At 45.7% G+C, this 18,757-nt stretch overlaps 2 long non-coding RNA genes across 3 annotated transcripts in view, besides 1 other annotated feature; one reads left to right on the top strand and one right to left on the bottom strand.

The window, feature by feature from the left end:
- EPCAM-DT (EPCAM divergent transcript) overlaps positions 1-18,757 on the top strand; it is a 152,670-nt gene that overhangs the window by 123,493 nt on the left and 10,420 nt on the right. The window contains exons 2-3 of one of the 2 annotated variants that reach the window (NR_110207.1): positions 259-773; positions 6,323-7,633. The exons of the other annotated variant lie outside the window; for it this stretch is intronic. This is a non-coding gene — a long non-coding RNA (EPCAM divergent transcript). Of the gene's footprint in view, positions 1-258; positions 774-6,322; positions 7,634-18,757 lie in introns of those variants that run through there. 2 annotated transcript variants of the gene reach the window in all.
- LOC105374588 (uncharacterized) lies at positions 225-3,423 on the bottom strand. Its single transcript, XR_940063.3, has 2 exons — positions 2,991-3,423; positions 225-498 (listed from the first exon to the last, which is right to left on the bottom strand). It is a non-coding gene; the product is annotated as an uncharacterized LOC105374588 (long non-coding RNA).
- Positions 13,391-13,890: an enhancer, noted in NCBI's record as "H3K27ac hESC enhancer chr2:47434831-47435330 (GRCh37/hg19 assembly coordinates)". NCBI's record gives its function as "activates a minimal SCP1, AML or CMV promoter by ChIP-STARR-seq in primed H9 embryonic stem cells {active_cell/tissue: H9 hESC(primed)}" and the evidence as "EXISTENCE:reporter gene assay evidence [ECO:0000049][PMID:30033119]".

Here is an 18,757-nt window from a genome sequence, read left to right as displayed (position 1 = left end):
GACTTAACTCCCTCTGGTTGATTATATAGGTAGGATATTAAAGAGATGCCAAGATGCCATAGGTTAGTCTATGAGAATGAAACTAGAAAATCAACACATAATGGGTGAAGTCATGTGTATATGTGTGTATGTTATGTATTTATGTATTTCATATGTGTGTATATGTATGTTTGTACATATATATTTCAGTAACCTATTGCTGTTTAACAAACCACTCCAATATGTAACAACATAAAATGACAACCATTTATTTTTCAGGATTCCGTGAGTCAGGAGCTTGGCCAGGCTCAGCTGGGACACTCATCTTTGCTTCACCTCATGTCAGCTGCAGCATCTTAGGAATGCAAGACAGCCTCATTCACATCCGGCGGCGGGTGCTGGCTGTCCACTGGGTGCCTTCGCTCTTTTTCAAGTGGTTTCTCATCCTCTGGGGTTTCACTGTCTCCATGTGGCCTCCCTAGCAAGTTGCTTAGATTTCTTTACGTGGAAACTGGCTTTCTAGAGGGTAAAAATGGAAGCTGCAAGGACTCTTATGGCCCAGAAGTCCCAGAACGTCACTTCTTCCACAAGTCATAGGGCCAGCCAAGATTCAAGGGGAAGGAAACAGACTCTGTCTCTTCATATTTCAATGGGACAAATTGTTGCAGCCACCTTTGGAAACAATCTACTGCAATACACTACAGCAGTGGACATCTGGGCCCTTACCAGGTGCCAGACGCCGTACTAACAGCTTTATACGGATGAACTCATTTAATCCTCCCAAACTCCATGAGGTAGGGTCTGTTAGTAACCCCAGTATGCAGATGAGGCAAATGAGGCAGAGAGAGTTTAAATAACTTGAGTTACACAGCTCGTTTTTGTGCTCAGAGCCCATGTTCTATGTGCCATTCCTGTGCTCTATTGCTGTTCCTCTAAGAGTTGACGTGGCTCACAGGCTGGGGCAGAATAATCAATATAATATGAATAACAGCAATTTAAACTAACTGTCTATGGAATGCCTGCTAGCAAGCATGATAGCTTTATGAAACTTAACTTCTTTGCTGAATCTTCATCTCCACCCCAGAGCCTTGCAAGCTAGCTCTCATCCTTATTTTGTAGATGAGAAAACACGTGCAGAGAGGTTAAACAATTTGGATATTTTACCCAAGCAAAACGTAATGGCAGCCCACTAAGTTCCATTAACTAATCTGGGGATAGGATGTGTGGATGCAGGGACAATGGGACAGCCCCTCCAGCACTGCTGTGGGGAGCAGCCTAGATCCGCAAACATCTCGGCCCTGGCCAGGGTGAGATTTGGGGTGGTGAGAGACCACTGCAGCCCTCCATGGACCAGTCAGTACCTGAGATTAATTCCTCGCTTGCTTGGGTCCTCGTTCTGACTATAGCTCATCTCCCTGCGCTGGGAGACTGCCAGGAAAAGGTGTGCAGGGATCCCGGGCTACTGGGCAGTTGTTTCGCAAGGCTCCTTGCCTAGAATGCCTTTCCTCCATCCTGGCTCACAGGCCACCTCCTCAGAGAGGCCTTACCTTGGCCAAGTGTGCCCCTTCCTCACAAGCCCTGCCTACCCCTGCTGTGTGGCCTTCCTGGTGCTTATGATTCTCTGCTGTTATTTACATAGATGGCCATGTTTTAATCTCCCCGACTAGTATGCATGCTCTATTAAGGTAGATGCTTTTATTTATAGCTACCTAGCATATATATAGTAGGTATTCAGTAAATATAAGGAAAAGAGAGAGAGGAAGAGAAAGAGTGAGAAAAGGAGAGAAAGAATTCGTAGTCTCGTCTATATATTCATGTTTTATGATCTTGGTTGATACTAGTCTATCCCCAGTGGGCAAATCTACCCTCAGCCTGTTGACCACATTAAATTTTAGAGCCTGATACAGGGTAGTCCCAGACCTAGAAGAAGTCACCAAGGCATGCTATGGCCTTGGGAACACTCCTGCGGACCAGCTGGCCCGTTCCCTTGGTGTTACCCTCTCTCCTGCTACACATCTGCTTTCTAACATCAGCAGATTGTATTTCCTAGGAGTGCTGGTGGGTTTTCAAAACAGAGGGTCTCCTCCGACTATTTTGCCTTCTACAAACGGGTATTTAGTCATGTCCAGCTTCGCCAGGCCTATGTCAAAGAGTACTGCCCAAAAAGTGCTGCCCAAAGAAGCCACTGGCACTGTTCTGCAGGCTGTCTGCTCGAAGTCCACCTGGCCCCAGCCCCTTGGCTCTCCCCAGCTTCTGCCCTTTGCCTCCAGCAGCCTCTGGACTCTGCCGGGCTGCAAGAGTTGATCGGAGTCTGCGTTAATGTGAGCTACTTGGGTGTGTTTATTACCCTCCCAGAAGTAGATGGTGAGTTATTATCTCTTAGCCTCCCAGGGGCCATTGCTCTGTTGGAGCTGGGAGAAGAGTAACCAGATGGAAAAAGATGGGTGTAGCGATAACATTCTTGACAATGACTAATTTTTTTTTAGCACTTACGAAGTGCCAGGCCCTTTGCTAAGCCCAATGTCTATATATAATCTCATTTAATTCTCACAAAAACTCTATTAGGCATATTATTGCTATTATTCCCATCTTACGGGTGATAAAACTGAGTCATAGAGAGGGCAAGTACATTTGCCAAGGTTAGGCAACAAACATAGGATTGAAATTCACGTTTAGGTCATGCTTTTTTAAATTTAAGAGATGAAGTCTGTGTTGCTAGGCTGGAGTGTAGTGGCCATTCACAGGTGTGATTATAGCACATTACAGCCTCAAATTCCTGGGCTCCAGCGATCCTCCTGCCTCAGCCTCCCAAATAGCAGGGACTCCAGGCACTTACCACCGCACACAGCTCACGCTTTTCTCACCACACCATAGCCCTTCCTCCCAATATCCCCAAGCAAGAAATAATTTCTCTCTTCCTCACCACAAGGCAGAAGACACAGACTTGGCCCTTAGTACCCATGATGCAGGCTGCCCAGCCTGAACTCTGGGATCTTCCCCAGGGTACTCACCTCATGGCAGCCTCTCCAGGGGCTGGCGTTCCTGATGGAGGGGAACCAGCAGCTTCAAGCAGAAGCCAAAAAGACACCCCATCCTGGCCCTCCAGACGTCCTGGAGCCCTACTAGCAGTGTCTGTGAAAAGCCTTTCAAGGCGACCTTGTGGGTTCCAACACACAGTCGTTTAAATGGTTTATTGCCCCATAAACAGGGCTCCGCAAGGACGCTGCAAGCTGTGTTATTTCAAATGCTCAGTATCTGTCTTTTCAGGGTTTGGATTTACCTTTCCCGGCTGTGGGTACTTCCTTATTCTGGGCAGGCTGACATTTGTCGAAGCAAAGTGGATATACTGGGCTGGCAGAATGCCCTCCCACCTCTCGGGCCTGCATGAGGAGGAGCTGGAGGAATGTTCTTCCTCTTGCTTCTGCCTGAGTGAACTGGGTTTACCTAAGGGGAAGAAAGGCTCAGTGAGGCGGTGAAAGAAATTAGGAGACCTACAGAGTCCTCGCATTACCATCCTGAGAGCCCTCTGCTGGGGCCTCACCTGGGACACAAGCCATGGCTCATTACCTGCTTTATATCATGCAGTCCTCACAACTTCTTTTTTTTTTTTTTTTTGAGATGGAGTCTTGCTCTGTCACCCAGGCTGGAGTGCAGTGGTGTGATCTCGGCTCACTGCAACCTCTGCCTCCTGGGTTCAAGCGATTCTCCTGCCTCAGCCTCCTGAGTAGCTGGGATTACAGGCGCGCACCACCATGCCCAGCTAATTTTTGTATTTTTAGTAGAGACAGGGGTTTCACCATGTTGGTCAGGCTGGTCTTGAACTCCTGACCTTGTGATCCACCCACCCTGGCCTCCCAAAGTGCTGGGATTACAGGTGTGAGCCACCGCACCTGGGTCACAACTTCTTTTTAGGTGTCCCCATCTAAGATAAGGAAGCAGAGCCTAGAGACTGATAACCTCAGGTGATGGCGTAGTTAACCAGTGGCTGCATCAGGCAGGTTCTAATCAGAAGTAGAATCCACTAAATGGTTCTAATGAGGTTTTTGCTTAGGCAGAGGCAGGGTTAGGAAACAAACAAAGCTGATGAGGCAACCCGACTAGCAACAGCAGGCTCTTACTACCTGTTGTGCCAAATCCCCTATTAACCTTAATAGGCGAGGCACCAGGCTCAAGAGGCAGAAGAGACCTCCAGCCAACAAATGAGACAGGAGGTTTTATTAGGGGGTTACATACAGGGAAGAGAGTCCCCTGACAATGGGCTGGACAAGAGAACTGCCTTACATACAGAAATGGTCCAGTGGCTGTAGGCTGGACAACATAACTGCATCGCCCAGTGGCAGGGGCTGGGCAGGAAAATTGCAACTACTGGCCAGGCGCGGTGGCTCACGCCTATAATCCCAGCACTTTGGGAGGCTGAGGCAGGCGGATCACGAGGTCAGGAGATCGACACCATCCTGGCTAACACGGTGAAACCCCATCTCTACTAAAAATACAAAAAATTAGCAGGGCGTGGTGGCGGGCGCCTGTAATCCCAGCTACTCGGAAGGCTGAGGCAGGAGAATGGCGTGAACCCGGGAGGTGGAGCTTGTAGTGAGCCGAGATTGCGCCATTGTGCCACTGCACTCCAACCTGGGCGACAGAGCAAGACACTGTCTCAGAAAAAAAAAGAAAATTGCAACTACCTGCTAACATCATGCAGTTTATATAGCATTTTCACCCTCCCCCTAAAACCTCCACCTGACAACCTTCATTTAATCTAAAACTCGGCCTCAATCCTCTGTACGTCTGTCTTCCATGGGACAGAATGGGACAGGGGCTCAGCTGTTTATCATACATGAGGAACAAATCTCTGGGTTGACCACTCACAGATTCCCTAGCTCAGAACACACATTCAGGTGTGTCTGCCATACAGGGTCATTCTAAGGGTATCCTTAAATTATTACTCTCAGGCTGGGCATGGTGGCTCACACCTGTAATCCCAGCACTTCGGGAGGCCAAAGCAGGCAGATCACTTGAGGTCAGGAATTCAAAACAAGCCTGGCCAACATGTGAAACCCCGTCTCTACTTAAAATACAAAAAATTAGGCAGGCATAGTGGTGCGCACCTGTAGTCCCAGCTACTCGGGAGGCTGAGATGGAGAATTGCTTGAACCCGGGAGGCAGAGGTTGCAGTGAGCCAAAATTGCCTCACTGCACTCCAGCCTGGGCAACAGAGTGAGACTCCTTCTCAAAAAAAAAAAAAATTACTACTCTCAGGTGCATTTACCTTATAACACCACCAAGCCTAACAGGTCAAGGAGTGAAAAGAGTGCAGCCAGAGATGAGGGGTGAGAACTAGAACCATGGGGTAGACCTAAGAGTCTCAGAGAGACACAGCCACTGCCAGGATCAGGCTCCAAAGCAAGGTGGGAACAGGAAAAAAAAATCTCTACCTGTCTTTTCTCTGCCTCTCCCATCCCTCCCACTCCTTCCATAGCCAAACCCATGCAGAAGCCAGAGCCCAAGGCAAACTGGGTGATGCAATCTGAAGAGGTCGGTCACTTGGGCACAGAGCAGGGTAGACAAGGATGGGGGTTGTGGCAGAAGGAGCATAACCAGTGTAGCAGTGGAGCTGGACTTTGAGCCATGAACTCTCTCTTTTTTTTTTTTTTTGAGACAGAGTTTCGCGCTTGTTGCCCAGGCTGGAGTGCAGTGGTGCGATCTAGGGTCACTGCAACCTCCACCTCCCGGGTTCAAGAGATTCTCCTGCCTCAGCCTCCTGAGTAGCTGGGATTACAGGCGCCTGCCACCATGCCCGGCTAATTTTTGTATTTTTAGTAGAGATGGGGTTTCTCCATGTTGGCCAGGCTGGTCTCGAACTCCTGACCTCAAGTGATCCACCCGCCTTGCCCTCCCAACGTGCTGGGATTACAGGTGTGAGCCACTGCGCCTGGCTGTGCCATGAACTCTTGGGAGTCCCGATGCTTTGCTGTGGTTCTTTCAAGCCGAGACACCTTCCTACCATGCAGCACCATTGACTCAGGTGCAAGCCCTCTCAGAGATCCAGTTGCTGGTCTAGCTCAGCTATTAATTGGAATGATCCTTTCCCCCACTTTTTTCCTCCTCCTTGCTCCTGTAGGAATTTCTCCCAGATAATGAAATTGCCTGGGCCCAGGCTTCTGGTCAGCTGGATCCCACCACAGCCCTGACTGCTGATTCCACATTCTTTGGGATTTGTGCTTACTTGGCCCTACGATGGATCCTGGAGAAAGCTCTTTCAATTTCTGGCCAACCATCTCCCCTCCCCATCCTTCATCCCCATTAGTCCAGTGTTTCCACCCAAGCCTTGTGTTTTTCTCTGCAGGTTTTGCAGCCCTTGCCATGAGTGGCCAGTTGCTGATAGCATTGCTGCTGCCTGTTGCTATTCTGGGATAGGAACTGAGGATGTGCTGTGATTACCCAGACCAGAAGGAAGCTCAGAAGGCACTGGTCCTCTCAGGTGGCACCCAGATCCAGTGTGAGCCATGGGGGATGAAGGGTGGTTAAGTGAAAAGCTTTGGAGTGCTGACAGGTGGTCCCCCTGATATGCCAGGAAATTACTTCCGGGCAAGAGAAACAAAGGAGAGTCCATCTTCTAATGTTACTGGCGCCATACCAACAAGGTGTCAGCTAGAAACCTCTCTCTCTCTCTTGCAAATTCTAGCCTGCAAAACCTGAGGACTGGCCTCAGGCTAGTCAGAAATTTGCCTGAAAACATCATTCCTTGGGGTGGTGGGACTTCTGGGTAAGCCAGTGTGACTTGAATTCTTGATTTCTTATACTCCCTTCTAACCAACCACCTGAATGCTGATCTCTACTAGCTGTCTGTGTGCCTTGCATTTCAATCAGCAGCCTTACAAATGATGATGAGGAGAAGGAGGAGGATGAGGACGATAGCCAACATTTACTGTTCTTTTGCTACTGTCCTAAGTACTTTACAAATACCAGATAATTTTTTCTTCATAACACTGTCATTACTCCCATTTTACAGATGAAGAAAACAAAGCTTAAATAGATCACATGATTTGGTCAAGGTCACTCATGTCACAGAGCCTGAATCCAAATCCAGTGAAGCCTCCAGAGCCTAGTTTCTACCCATGACCCTGTGTTGCCTATTGATGGTACAGTGTAGGTTTTTTCCTTCTTCCTTTTTCTTTTTTTGAAAGTCTTTATTGAATTATAATTGGCATACCATTAACTGCAAATATTTGAAAAATACAATTTTATGAGCTCTGACATACATACACCCATAAAACCATTGTTACAATCAAGATAATGAATATGTCCGTCATTCCCCAAAAGCTTCCCTGTGCCCCTTGGTAATCCACCCCTCACTCCCCACCCCATTCTGTTCCTAGGCAACCAATCATCTGTTTTCTGTCAGATTAATTTGCATTTTCTAGAGTTTTATATATGGAAGCAGACAGCATGTACTCTTTTTTTGTCTGGCTTCTTTCACTCAGCATAATTATTTTTAGGTTCATCTATATTGGTGCACGTATCAACAATTCATTCTTTTCTATTCCTGAGTACTATTCCATTATATAGGTGTACTAAATTTGTTTATTCAACTCTTGATGGACATTGAGTTGTTTACAGTTTTTGGCTATTACAAATAAAGCTGCTATGAACCTTCAAGTGCAAGTCTTTTGTGCACATGTTTTCATTACCGTAAGGTAAATACCTAGGTGGAGAATGGCTAGATCCTATAGTAAGCATGTATATGTTTAATTTTGTGAAAAATGGCCAAACTATTTCCCTGAGTGGTCATGCCTTTTTATATCCCCACCAGCAGTGTATGAGGAGTTCCAGTTGCTCCACTTCCTGAACAACATTTGGTATAGTCTTTTTTTATCTTTTTTTTTTTTTTGAGACAGAGTCTCACTCTTGTTGCCTAGGTTGGAGTACAGTGGCCCGAACATGGCTCACTGTAGCCTCAACCTCCCAGGCTCAAGTGACCCTCCCACCTCAACCTTCTGAATAGCTGGGACTACCATGCCCAGCTAGTTGAAAAAAAAATTTTTTTTGGAGACAGGGTCTCACTATGTTGCCCAGACTGGTTTCAAACTTCTGTGCTCAAATGATCTGCCCACCTCAGCCTTCCAAAGTGCTCGGATTACAGGCATGAGCCCCATGCCCAGCTGGTATAGTCTTTCTAATTCTAGCCATTCTATTCTAGTAGAAATGTAGTAGTTTTTCATCCAGGTTTTAATTTGCATTTCCCCCTAATGATTAATTATGTTAAGCTACCTATTCATGTGCTTATTTGCCATCTTTATATCTTCTTTGGTGAAATGTTTGTTAAAATCTTTTTGACTGCTTTTTAAAAATTAGGTTGTCTTCTTGTAGAGTTGTAAGAGTTCTTTATATATCCTGGAACAAGTCCTTTGTCAGAAATAGGTTTTGCAGCTTTTTATATGTTCCACCTTTTCATTTTTGTAACAATGTCTTCTGAAGAACAAAAGTTTTAAATTTTGAAGTCCAATTTATTGATTTTTAGTTCAGGCTTTTTTTTTTTCCTGATGAATGCCTGAAGAGAAGGCATTCTCTGTTTTGTTGTTGTTGTTGTTGTTTTTGTTTTTTGAGACAGAGCCTCGCTCTGTTGCCCAGGCTGGAGTGCAGTGGCACTACCTCAGCTCACTGCAACCTCCGCCTCCCAGGTTCAAGCCATTCTTGTGTCTCAGCCTCCTGAGCAGCTGGGACTACAGGCATGAACCACCATGCCCAGCTAATTTTTGTATTTTTAGTAGAGATGGGGTTTCACCATGTTGGCAAGGCTGGTCTCCACTTCCTGACCTCAAGTGATCCACCTGCCTTGGCCTCCCAAAGTGCTGGGATTACAGACATGAGCCACCATGCCCTGTTTTTTTTTGGTTTTGTTTTGTTTTTTGTTTTTTTTTCAACTGTGGTAAAATATGCAAAACATAAAATTTACCATTTTAACGTTTTTTTTTTTTGTTTTGTTTTTTTTTTTTTTGAGATAGAGTCTCACTCCTGTTGCCTAGCCTGGAGTGCAGTGGGACTGGCTAATTGTTTGTATTTTTAGTAGAGACGGGGTTTCGCCATGTTGCCCAGGCTGATCTCAAACTCCTGGGCTCAATTCATTTGCCCAATGCAGCCTCCCGAAGTGCTGGGATTACAAGCATGAGCCACCATACCCGGCCTCATTTTAACCATTTTTAAGCATACGGTTTGGTGGCATTAAGTATATTCATACCGTTGTACTTTGGGCTTTTTAAATTCTTTTGAAGAATTTTTGCCAAATCCATGGTCACAAGGATTTTCTCTTATGTTTTCTGTCAAAGTACATAATTTAATATTGTTAGCCTTTATAGATCAATTTTTTTTTTTGAGACAGAGTCTCACTCTGTCACCCAACCTCCGCCCCCAGGTTCAAGCGATTCTCAAGCCTCAGCCTCCCAAGTAGCTGGGACTACAGGTGCGTGCCACCATGCCCAGCTAATTTTTGTATTTTCAGTAGAGATGGGGTTTCACCATGTTGGCCAGGCTTGTCTCGATCTCCTAACCTCAAGTGATCCACCTGCCTCAGCCTCCCAAAGTTCTGGGATTACACGTGTGAGCCAGTGTGCCCGGTCAGCCTCTACAGATCAACTTCAAGTTAATGTTTACGTATGGAATGAGGTAATGATTGAGGTTCATTTCTGCATATGACTAAACACTTATTCCTGCACAATTTGTTGAAAAGATTATCCTTTTCCTATTGACTTACATTGACACCTTTGTCAAAAATGAATTGGCTGTTTTTAAAACTATTTTCCTGGTTTGCTTTCAACAGGTTGCCTTCCGATTTCCACATAGTGTCTTCCTAGATGGACTCCTCACCTATCACTCTGTTCTGATCTGGCTCCCAAACTTCCCTTGCTGTCTGACAGATTTCTAGTGATACTTTCCAGTCTTACCTAATCCCCTGCCCGTCCCCTAATCTGCATTCAGCCTTGCTCCAGCCTTCCTTGTCTGGGCTCTGTGCCCAGCACCTGAGCAGGCCTTGTTGCTGCCCACAGTCCTGATGCCATCAGAATCCTGGAGGGCAAAAGTTGCAGTTAGGTCCTGCTCAGGGCCCAGGGAGCTCCAGCACAGCAGTCTTTCCCTGCCAGTTACCCAGGAAACCCTGACACTGCGGACCAGAGATCCAGCCATTGTAGCAGTGACCTGGCTGCCAGGCTGTCTCAAGACCTTACCAGTTGTTGTGACCATATCAGCCGAGTTGTGAGCCCCCATTAAAGCCAGAAATGAGATTTGGCTGAAGGAGTATTGATAGACAAAACTGAACAAGAAGAATGAAGAGCCTTGTAGATCAATGTTCTCTCACATGGAAAGATAACTTTTTAAAGTATACCTGTTTATGGATAGCACTACAAAGTCTCCGTATCTTTATATGATTTAGAGGTAAAATGACCACAAAGGATGATCGGTACCTAATCAGCCTTCATGTCTGATGAACAGAACCTTGGAGAAGCCCTGAAATGACTTCCTCACATTGTTTAGACTTCTCTCCCGAAGGGGGCAGGCAGTCCCCCTAGTTTTGCTCAAGCTTGTTGGGAGACATCACTCTGTATCCATCAGGGTAGATCCCGGGAAACTGATTTAAACAAGAACCATGCAGCTTGCCTCCCAGACTGCTTCATGTTCAGGCCTCAAAGCAGCCTGCAGAGGGGAATATCTTCTAGAAGGATTTTATTTTGAATTCAGCTGAAAGAGGGCACTACACAGAATATCAAAGGTGAAGCTGTATTGCATTTTTCACAAGGAATAAAAAGCAATCCCTGTGGTCAGCACATGTGCAGGCGAGCATTTGAGGGAGGCCATATCCTAGCACAAATATTCCTCCATGCCCAAGAGGCTGGTAGGACAGACGCCATGAATGAATGTGTTGTTGTGCCTAGGCACTGGGCTGAGTTGTTTTTTATAGCCACTAGACCTACTTAGACTGTTGCCTTTGTGAACCAACAGCTGCAGTTTGGGAGGTGGCTAGACATGGAATCAGGGGGTTTTATTTTGGTGGTGTTCTACCTGGTTCATTCAGGGATGACCCTATTAACACTAAGTTTTAACCAAAGTCACCACCACCCTGGGCAGGAAGCCACACACTCACTTTTCTGGAAATGCATGCAGCCTGATTCTCTTGTGGGCTATGTTGAATGGAGAGAGAATACCTGGATGTGAGGGTTATAGAGATATAAGAAAGAAGTGGGGCATGGATTAGCATCATTATATACTAATTAGCCATCTGTCTGTGAGTCTTCTAGAATAAAGTAACCAGGCCAGGCGCGGTGGCTCACACCTGTAATCCCAACACTTTGGGACGCTGAGGTGGGAGGATCACCTAACATCAGAAGTTCCAGATCAGCCTGGCCAACGTGGTGAAACCCCGTCTCCACTAAAAATACAAAAATTAGCCAGGCGTGGTGGTGTGTGCCTGTAATCCCAGCTACTCAGGAGGCTGAGGCAGGAGAATGGCTTGAACCTGGGAGGTGGAGATTGCAGTGAGGCAAGATCGAGCCACTGAACTCCAGCCTGGCCGACAGAGCAAGACTCTGTGTCAAAAAAAAAAAAAAAAAGAAGAAAGTAAACGAGGAATAATCTCTTTCCAGGTCCACTCTTGGGAACAGAAGTAAATCAAAGGGGCTTATGCTGGAGCTTGACTCTGACATTTCAGGACTTTAGGGACTCTCATCTCTTCTCAGGCTCTTCATGGTAAATAAAGTCTTATTAAAAATGAAGCATTTTAGGACATAGTTCTTCATGTGCCCAAGTTTCAGGCTATACTCACTGGTAGGCAGATTAAGCAGAGGCTTTTGTGGTTTGGAATCCAAATGGTGTTATGAAAAAAGCATATTCTTTAGAGTCAAATCCAAATGGTGTTATGAAAAAAAGCATATTCTTTAGAGTCAGATATATCTGGACTGAAATCCTAGTCCTGTGTCTATCATCTGAGTAAGTTTGGAAAGTCACTCAACTTTGTTTCTTTGTCTACTAAATGAGGTAATACCTGTCTCATAGGGTTGTTATAAAGATTATTACTTTTTAAAAATAGTAGCTACTTTGAATTGAATATTTGCTGTGTGCCAGACACTGTGCTAAACACATGTATTAAATCATTTAATCTGAACTCACTATTTAAGTGGTATCCTATTTGCAAAGTGCCTGGTACACTGTAAGGTACACAGTAAGTGTTCAGTAAATGGTCGTTGGTGCTATTGTAATATTTCAGAGATACAAAGATGGGCTTCTTGCTCCTCTTATTCTTCTCTTCCCCAGACAGTTGATGCCTAAACTGAGAAATGTAGTCAAAAACATAATCATCTCTGGAAAAGAGAAAACACTGGCATTGAAATGAATCCCAAAGCATAAATGACTCATAACATAATCTGTCCTGAGAGTGAGTTTTGATAGGGGAAGGGGGTAAGGAAAGGTGAAGAGGCGGAAGTGGGGAAATAAGATAAACACTGAAGATAAGCTTTGCCAGCCCTGCCTAAAACATTCTGCTGCAATAGAGTTAAGGGGTTGCAAAACGAGTTTTCATGGGCCAGTAGGAGATTTTCCGTACATTTGTTTTTTAGGTCTGTTTGAGTGGAGAATGGAAGGGGAGGTCAGAGAGAGCTCAGGGAAATTCTGTTTCTGCATCATTACATTTTAGGCAGCACTTGAAATCAGGGAGATAGAATTTCCTGAGCCTAGGGGAATATCTGTGGGAAGTCCGGGGACAATGAGCAAAATCTATCTCAGAGCGATCTCTGGCCATTTCAGTTCGCATCCTTTCACCTTGGTGATAGTATTACCCAGGAGTAGGGACCCTGAGACCTTCAAATGGGTTTGTGGCTGGCACAAGCTATTCTTCAGATGCTTGCGGTAGGCCCCAAACTCAGGCTGAGATTCTTACAAAAATATCGTGGTTTTCTGTTTCCATAACTTATAATGTGCTTCTTCCAGGAAGCAAACACCTTCAAGGGCAATTAATAGAAAATTTGTGGAATTCTCCAATGCAAGGCAGTATTGAAGCAAAGTGAAATACTTCTGAGAAAAGGTTCTGGGGAATTTATGCAATGAATCTCCAAAGACATATTTATATGTTTATGCACTTTGTTTTGGTTTGCTTCCTTCTGATTTTAAAAATTATGATTTTTGTATATATCAAAATAGCCTTTCAGTTTCATGTCTAGAAACAAACATTTTACAAAGTGATTGTTTCTTATGGCTGCAGTAAAAAACAACACAAGGCAGATCCCTCAAGTGTTAAAAGCATCTACCCAACATTCCAGGGAATGTCAGAAGTATATGCTGAGGGTGGCATGATGGAAAGGAGGATAAAGTGCCAGGCTGCTCAGTTCATATTTGGTCGTTCATTCATTCATCCATTCGTTCATCAAATCCGAACTGATGAATTTTTTCTTTTTTTGAGACAGGGTCTCACTCTTTCACGTACAGTGGTACAATCTTGGCTCACTGAAACCTTGACTTCCCGGGCTCAAGTCATCCTCCCATCTCAGCCTCTCAGGTAGTTAGGACTACAGGCATGGACCATCATGCCTGGCTAATTTTAAAATTTTTTTGTAGACACAGGGTCTCCCTATGTTGCCCAAGCTGGTCTTGAACTCCTGGGCTTGAGCAATCTTCCTGCCTCAGTCTCCCAAAATCCTAGAACTATAGGTGTGAGCCACCGTGCCTAGCTGTGAGCACCAATTTTGTGCCACACATTCTGCTGGATGCTAGGGATACAGCAATGAGCAAAACAGATGAAACTCCCTGCCCTCATGGAGCTTACTTTCTAGTGGGGGAAAGCATGGGCAGAGGCTCAGAAGTGTGAACGTGCCTGGAGTGCTGGAGGAGCAGCAAGAGTGTCTGTGTGGCTGGGGCAGAGGATCAGAGAGAGAGAGCAGCAGGAGAGAAGGTCAGGTAGTGACGGGGTCAGACCATGTGGGCCGTGAAGGTCATAGTCAGGGCTTTGCCTTTACTCTGAGTGAGGTGGGGGAGTCACTGGGAGGATGTGAACAGAAGAGAGGCATGGTCCCACTTACATTATAACAAAATGCTCCTGGTTGCTATGTGAAGAACAGACTTCAGGGCACAAATGGAAACAGGACCTCCAAGGAGGCTGCTGCAATAATCTGGCTGGATTCAGTGGTGTATGCCTGTAGTCCCAGCTACTCAGGAGGCTGAGGTGGGAGGATCACTTGAGCCCAGGAATTCAAGGCTGCAGTGAGCTGTGATTTTGTCACTGCGCTCCAGGCTGGGTGACAGAGGGAGACCTCATCTCTATTAAAAAAAAAAAAAAAAAGTCTGGGCCAAAGGTGATGGTGACTTGGACCAGGGCTGTGGCAGTGGGAGTGATGAGAAGTGTAGTCTGAGTTCTGGACATGTTTTCAAGACGGCGCTGGTAAGATTTGCTGACAGACAGGATATGCAGTGCTTCCAGATCCTGACCTAGTGTGCAGTGTTTTCGTTTGATGGCAAATATGGGACCTCCAGGAGTTTTTTGGCATCAAGTATCAGACCCTGCTCACACAAAGTGAGAAATGGGGATTTCTCTGGAAGGACATGCAATATCTCACAGACAAGAAGGAAAAACAGTTTTAAGACTGGGCTTGGAAATGATGATCTGGGATCTTAGTACAACAGCAACCAGCAGGCCTACCTTGGGCCACATGATCAGTGGTCATTGCTGAATGGAACCACCCAGATAGGGGAGTAGTGCTTCCTATAGCCAAACTGGGATCAAAAGAAAGAGGGCCAATGGGTGTTAGACAGGCAAAACCCACAGATGTTTAAACTTCATCCCAGTTTAGAGCTTAAGAGATAAAAGAAACAGAGGCTCAAGTTTTGACCAATCACAAGGTAGACAGGAGAGGAAATCATCTGGCTTCCCCTGAGCTGTGTTGAGAAAAGAGTCCTGGCCTGGGGGTCATGCATCTGGTCTGAGCTCTGCTGCTCACTACCTGTGCTACTTCAGGCCAGCGGCTTAACTTCTCTAGTTAACTTCTTAACTAGAAGCCTTGGGCTTCTAGTGGACCAGAGTAAAAGCTGCAAACCTTGTCTTCACCAAAGACCGCTTTGATGATTTCTCCCACCCACCTCCCTCTTGCCCAGTAAACACATTAATTCATGGCTTTATCCTGTGGAAATGTACAATATGCATGAGACTTCTTGAAATGTTGAGATCAGATGAAGGGCAACTTGAAGCAGGAAGTGAATGGGCAAGGCAGGAGGAAGAGCACAAATGACACGGCACTGCAACATTTCATAGGCAGGATTAGGAAAATCCTCATGTTCTCTCCTGCTGTTCACTTTCTGACTTTATTGAGCCCAGACTTTATTATTGCTGTGTCCTCTGAAAGGTTTGATCCACCCAGGGTTTTCTGAGTGTCAAGATACCATTTGCTACACTGTCACCTTGAATTCCCCACTGGGGTTGCTGCACAGGCTGTAGATGTGAACGCAGCGAATTGCACCAGGTTGCTCCTCCATCCACACTGAGCACTCCCTCCCAAGTGGCACCCTCCTCCCTAGCACTTATGCCCACTTATATTTCATACCAGCCTATTTAGCACTTGATTACATATTGCTTTGAATTGTTCCCCAGCCCACTCAGATCAGAGCCTCCCACCTTCCAGCCCGCCCACTCCTAACTCCCAGTGTGCTAGATTTTCAACCTCCTCAAAACCTGTAGTCTCTTTCCCCTGCCATTTTTCTGTCACTGCTTCAGAACCTTCCCCCCAACTTCTTCATTTCCTTCTCTACTTCACCTATGCTTCCTGGGCCATCTCATCACCCTCCTTTGCCTAAGCCCAGCCTCCCTCCTCTCCGCCTTTGCCCTGCTGCTGCTCCGGTCTGGCTGCCGCCCAGCCTTATCAGGCAGCTCTTCCTACACTCTGACATCTGGGCTCCTGGGCTGCTGAGCTCTGCTGGAGAAAATCACAGCCCACGCAGATTGGCGCTACTACAAAGTCATCATCTGCATAGCCTAGTGGGCCGCTGAGCAGCCTAGAAACACTTCTTAGTGTCCCTGTCAGCAAACCTCCCCCTTCCCCACCATGGCCCTTCTAAGTGTTTCCCACCCTTTGAGCTTTGCTGAGAAAATAGAGGCCATCAGGTAGGAATTCCCTTGTTTATATGCACCTACTCCTCTGCCCCACCAAGAAACATATGTTCCCCTCCGGCATTCCTACCTTCCTCCAAGCTGAGAGGCCGTGCTACCTTCTACCTGTCCAAAGGCAACCGCCTCCTGAAAGCTCTGCAGCCTTGGCAGCTTGGCTTCATCTATTCTCCTCTCTCTCTCCTCTACCTTCCATCTCTCTCTAGTTCATCTGATCTTTCTCCTGAGCAAGTAAACCTTCCCTCTCTACCATCCTCTGCCTCTTCTCCTTCCCGCTCTATTAGTCCATTCACACTGCTGTAAAGAACTGCCTGAGACTGGGTAATTTATAAAGGAAACAGGTTTAATTGACTCACAGTTCAGCATTGCTGGGGAAGCCTCAGGAAACTTACAATCATGGCGGAAGGTGAAGGGGAAGTGAGGCACCTTCTTCACAAGGCAGCAGGAAGGAGAAGAGTGAACAAGTGAAAGGAGAAGAGCCCCTTATAAAACCAACGGATATCATGAGAATTCACTCACTATCACAAGAACAGCATGGAGGAACCACCCCCATGATTCAGCTACCTCCACCTGGTCTCTCCCTTGACACGTGGGGATTATGGGGATTACAACTGAAGATAAGACTTTGAGTGGGGACACAGCCAAACCATATCACCAGCCAAATGTGATGGTAGGGCATGTTTGGTGAGGCACAGCCTGCTATGACAGTAAAATGCACAAAAGACAAGAGTGACCTTCTCATTGTCCAGTCTGTGGCCACTTTCAGCTCCTGCCTTGACATTGCTGAAGATATGACACTCTTTTTTTTTTTTTGGGGGGGACAAGGTATCACTCTGTTGCCTAGGCTGGAGTGCAGTGGCACAATCACAGCTCACTGTAGCCTCAAATTCCTGGGCTCAAGTGATTCTCCTGCCTCAGCCTCCTGAGTAGCTAAGACTGCAGGTGTGTGCCACCAAATCCAGCTGATTTTCTAATTTTTTGTAGAGATGGAGTCTCGTTTTATTGCCCAGGCTGGTCTCAAACTCCTGGCCTCAAGTGATCTTTCCACCTAGGTCTCCCAAAGTGCTAAGATTATAGGTGTGAGCCATAGCATCTAGCCAAGAAATGATGCTCTTGACCCTGTTCTCTTCTTGATTCTCTCCCCTCTCTTGACCCCTATGACGACACTCTGTTCTCCTGCTCCCCCTCTGTATTCCAATCATAGTCTCTGCCTCTCCTCCCTGGCACTCTTCTGCTGAGGCTCCTTCAGGCACTGGCCTCCATCTCCTGGATGAAATCCAGGTTCATTTGGACAGCAGACAAGGGCTTCTCCATTTGGCTTATGCACATGATTTACCCTCCTTCTCCACTGGCTATATCCTCTCTCATCTCTGTGGCTTTGTGCGTTTCTTTACTCTGCTTGGAACGCCCTTCGTCCCTCTCTGCCACCTCACTGGGAGAACTCCTATTCATCTTTAGTGATCAGCTCATGTGTTGCCTCATCCTGTAATAATAATAATAGTAATAATAATAATCATGCCTCATCTGAATTTCCAAAACACCCTGAGAGTGTCTTGGTCTTAGCAGTTATCATATTAAATAGAAATGATCTATTTACCTGTGTGTGCTCCACTAGTCTGTCAGCCATACTCAATGCCTGGCACAGCTTGGCATACAATTAAATGCTCAATCCATGTTTACTGATTGAATGAATGAGTCAATGTTCAGTTGTCCTTCAGTATAGGTGGGGGATTGGTTCCAGGACCCCCGACTGACACCAAAATCACAGATGCTTGAGTTCTTCATATAAGATGGGTAGTATTTGCATATAACCTATGTAATCTTCCTGTATACTTTATATCATTTCCAGATTACTTATAATACCTAATACAATGTAAATGCCATGAAAATAGTTTTTATACTGTATTGTTTAGGGAACAGTGACAAGAAAAAAATCTGTACACGTTCAGTACAGAACGAAACTATCCATGTTTTCTTCCAAATATTTTCAATCCGTTTGTGGTTGAATCCACAAATGTGGAACCCACAGACACAGAGGAACAACTGTATTTTGTTATCGTTCCCAGCGTGGCTACTCCTGGGCAATGAATGTGATCAGTCTTCTCAGAGCATTTTAATGTGTTAGATATATTTTCTTATTGGGATTAAAACACATGTAATGCAAAATTTACCATTTTAGTCATTTTAAAATATAAATCCAGTGACATTTAGTACCTTCAGAATGTTGTGCAACAACCACCACTTTCTATGTCCAGGACATTTGTATCCCTATACCCATTAAGCAGTCATGCACCATTCCTCCAGCCCCGGGCAATTACTGATCTGCTTTCTGTCTCTATACATTTGCCTATTCCAGATATTTCATATAAATGGAGTCATATATGTGACCTTTAGTGTATGGTTTCTTTCACTTAGCATAATGTTTTCAAGGTTTATCTGTGTTTTAGCATGTCTCAGTACTCCTTCTTCTATTTATTTATTTATGTATATTTTTTGAGATAGAGTCTCCCTCTGTCACCCAGGCTGGAGTACAGTGGTGTGATCTCAGCTCACTGCAACCTCTGCCTCCTGGGCTCAAGCCATTCTCGTGCCTCAGCCTCCCCAAGTGGCTGGAATTACAGGTGCCTGCCACCATGCCCAGCTAATTTT

This window comes from Homo sapiens, chromosome 2, assembly GCF_000001405.40.
Source record: "Homo sapiens chromosome 2, GRCh38.p14 Primary Assembly".
NCBI classification, from domain to species: domain Eukaryota; kingdom Metazoa; phylum Chordata; class Mammalia; order Primates; family Hominidae; genus Homo; species Homo sapiens.
This window is presented reverse-complemented; position numbering and strand designations above follow the sequence as displayed.